The sequence below is a fragment of the Homo sapiens genome, chromosome 18 (genome assembly GCF_000001405.40).
Source record: "Homo sapiens chromosome 18, GRCh38.p14 Primary Assembly".
NCBI classification, from domain to species: Eukaryota; Metazoa; Chordata; class Mammalia; order Primates; family Hominidae; genus Homo; species Homo sapiens.
In genome coordinates, this window is record NC_000018.10 from 38,425,912 (window position 1) to 38,428,461 (window position 2,550).

A 2,550-nucleotide genomic window follows, 5' to 3' on the forward strand; every position below is an offset into this window, starting at 1 on the left:
TGCATTTTTTTCTCTCTAGTTAAATGTTGGTCAGTTGGGGAGCTTTAACTTTTTTTTTTTTTTTTTTGATATGGAGTCTCGCTCTGTTGCCCAGGCTGGAGTGCAGTGACATGATCTTGGCTCACTGCAAGCTCCGCCTCCCAGGTTCACGCCATTCTCCTGCCTCAGCCTCCCAAGTAGCTGGGACTACAGGTGCCCACCACCATGACCGGCTATTTTTTTTATATTTTAGTAGAGACAGGGTTTCACCATGTGTTAGCCAGGATGGTCTGGATCTCCTGACCTTGTGATCCACCCACCTCGGCCTGCCAAAGTGTTGGGATTACAGGCGTGAGCCACCGCGTCCAGCCTAACTTCATATTAAATAGTGATTTGTCATCCAGCAGTCAGCGACTTCTCAGAAAGAGGCTCTAAGACTACATGGCCTCAAGGAATCTGCATGTGTTGGGGGAAGATGGATTCAGGTCTGAACTGATCATGGGAATGAAGGCAGATTGTAAACAGAACTTGGGGTAGGACACGGCTATTTGCCATTTTATCAAAAGGAGGCCTGCAGATCAATTATACTAATTTTATCTGGAGTTTACAGCTCGCTCCCTTTTCACGAGCTGCTAATCTGCTTATTTCTCTCCATTCCCTCTCTGAACAGAAAATGAGGGTAATATCTTAAGGAAAGCAACTGGATGTTGCCCACACCTCTGCTCTATTTTCTCTGAGTTCTTACATTAGAGAGGCAACAAGAAGTGAAATGCCTAGGCTGCATATGTGCTGGGCTCAGTTCACCCCTATCTACACACTCCTCTGTCACAAGTTTAAACAAAGAAGCAGTTGACCACCATTTGCCAAGATGGTAGCTATGGCTACCCCAGGATAAGGAAGGCTTGAATGAAGGATCAAGACAGCATTTAGATGTGGTGGCAGTGAAGGGCTTTGGTGTTGATGGAAGGGTCCCACCTGATTCCATGGTGAAGGCAGAGTTCATGTTTCTGTCGCTGCAGGGGTTTGAAAGGAACCTGAAATCCAATCTGGTTGTTGAAGGCTTGGGGTCTTCAAACAATGCCAGCAAGCAATGCATTATAGTATTGTATTGAAGAAGTGTCTCATGGCCACAGGGAAGAACCCTACTTTTCATTTCCTGTAACCCCTGTCCTCACATCTTCTCATATAGGATTGGCAGGTAGGTGGAGCACTGTAAATGTCTAATTAACTGCCCTGTTACTTTAAAGGAGAAGGTCTAGAAACAATGCACCCCGCAACAAAAACTGTCTAACTCATTATGGACACAAAACATGAACTTCAGGCAGTCCTTAGGCCGGTGGAAGAGAGATTGAAGAGGCTAGTGAAACCAGGAAGCCCATATCAGATCTCAGGATGCACCATGCAGACATTTTCTCTCCTCTTCTCCCACTAAGACTGCAGCTTCCATTGAGGCCACGAAGCTGTCACCGAAGTGTACAACTGCCTCATTACCAGAGAGAGGAGCTGCACACTGGGAACCTCATTGGCCCCCTGGGGCATAGAGACCCAGGATCACAGCATGGCAATGCACCCCCTGCTGGCTTTTATTGTATGCTAATGTAATGGGCCATCAGTCTGAAGGCTGTCTGAGCATAGAAACAGGATTTCTTTTTGTCTAGTTGGAACAGTCATTTGAAATTCTAGCAAGCAGAAATGAGTGTGAGTGTTACAGGAAGGAAGGAAGGAGGAAGACATAAAGTAGAAAGGGAAGATGAATGAAAATGGGTGAAATAAAAGATTTTATGAGGGAAAATGAGAGAAATTCAGAGAGCTTTCTGCTTTAATGAAGTGTAACTTAAACAAAAATGCGGGGTAACGGACCAGCGTATACTTCTCATTGCAGAACACCAAAAAATAGCCACGAGGCCAAGGTTGCACACAGCAGGGAAGCCCAAGGTCATCCAGCTTCTAAAGAATGAGAAATCCAGCACTGGCACATCTCCTGAGTGTGTTTCCTTGGGGAAGAGTTGCCACTTACTGTGCTCTTTTCCTTCTTTACAGAAATGACATAATTCTCCTAATGTAATGCAAAAGGTTTCCATGCTGCCTTTGAAATGCCTTTCTCTCACACAGGCATCTATTTCCTGGAGTGACTTTGCAGACACTATTATCAAGTAGGTGGAAAGAAAGGAAATAGGAAGAGAGGGAAAAGGAGAAGGAGGAAGGAAAAAAGGTTAGAAAAAAGGGAAGAAAGTGAGGAAGAAAGTGTCCACGAAAAGAGTCAAACTAAAATATTTGAAGAGTTTTATTCTGAGCCAAATATGAGTGACCATGGCCCATGACACAGCACTCAGGAGGCCCTGAGAACATGTGCCCAAGATGGTCAGGGTAGAGCTTGGTTTTATATATTTTACAGAGGCATGAGACATGCCTCCTAAATACATTTAATAAATAACACTGATTTTTTTCAGAAAGGTGGGACAACTCAAAGGAGGTAGGGAGAGCTTCCAGGCTATAGGTAAATTTAAACATTTTCTGATTGACAATTGGTCGAGTTTGTCTAAAGACCTGGGATGGAGAGAAAGGAAATGT

The 2,550-nt window shown here is 44.4% G+C and overlaps 1 annotated feature.

Moving 5' to 3' along the window:
• Positions 1,267–1,824: an enhancer, noted in NCBI's record as "NANOG hESC enhancer chr18:36007142-36007699 (GRCh37/hg19 assembly coordinates)". NCBI's record gives its function as "activates a minimal SCP1, AML or CMV promoter by ChIP-STARR-seq in primed H9 embryonic stem cells {active_cell/tissue: H9 hESC(primed)}" and the evidence as "EXISTENCE:reporter gene assay evidence [ECO:0000049][PMID:30033119]".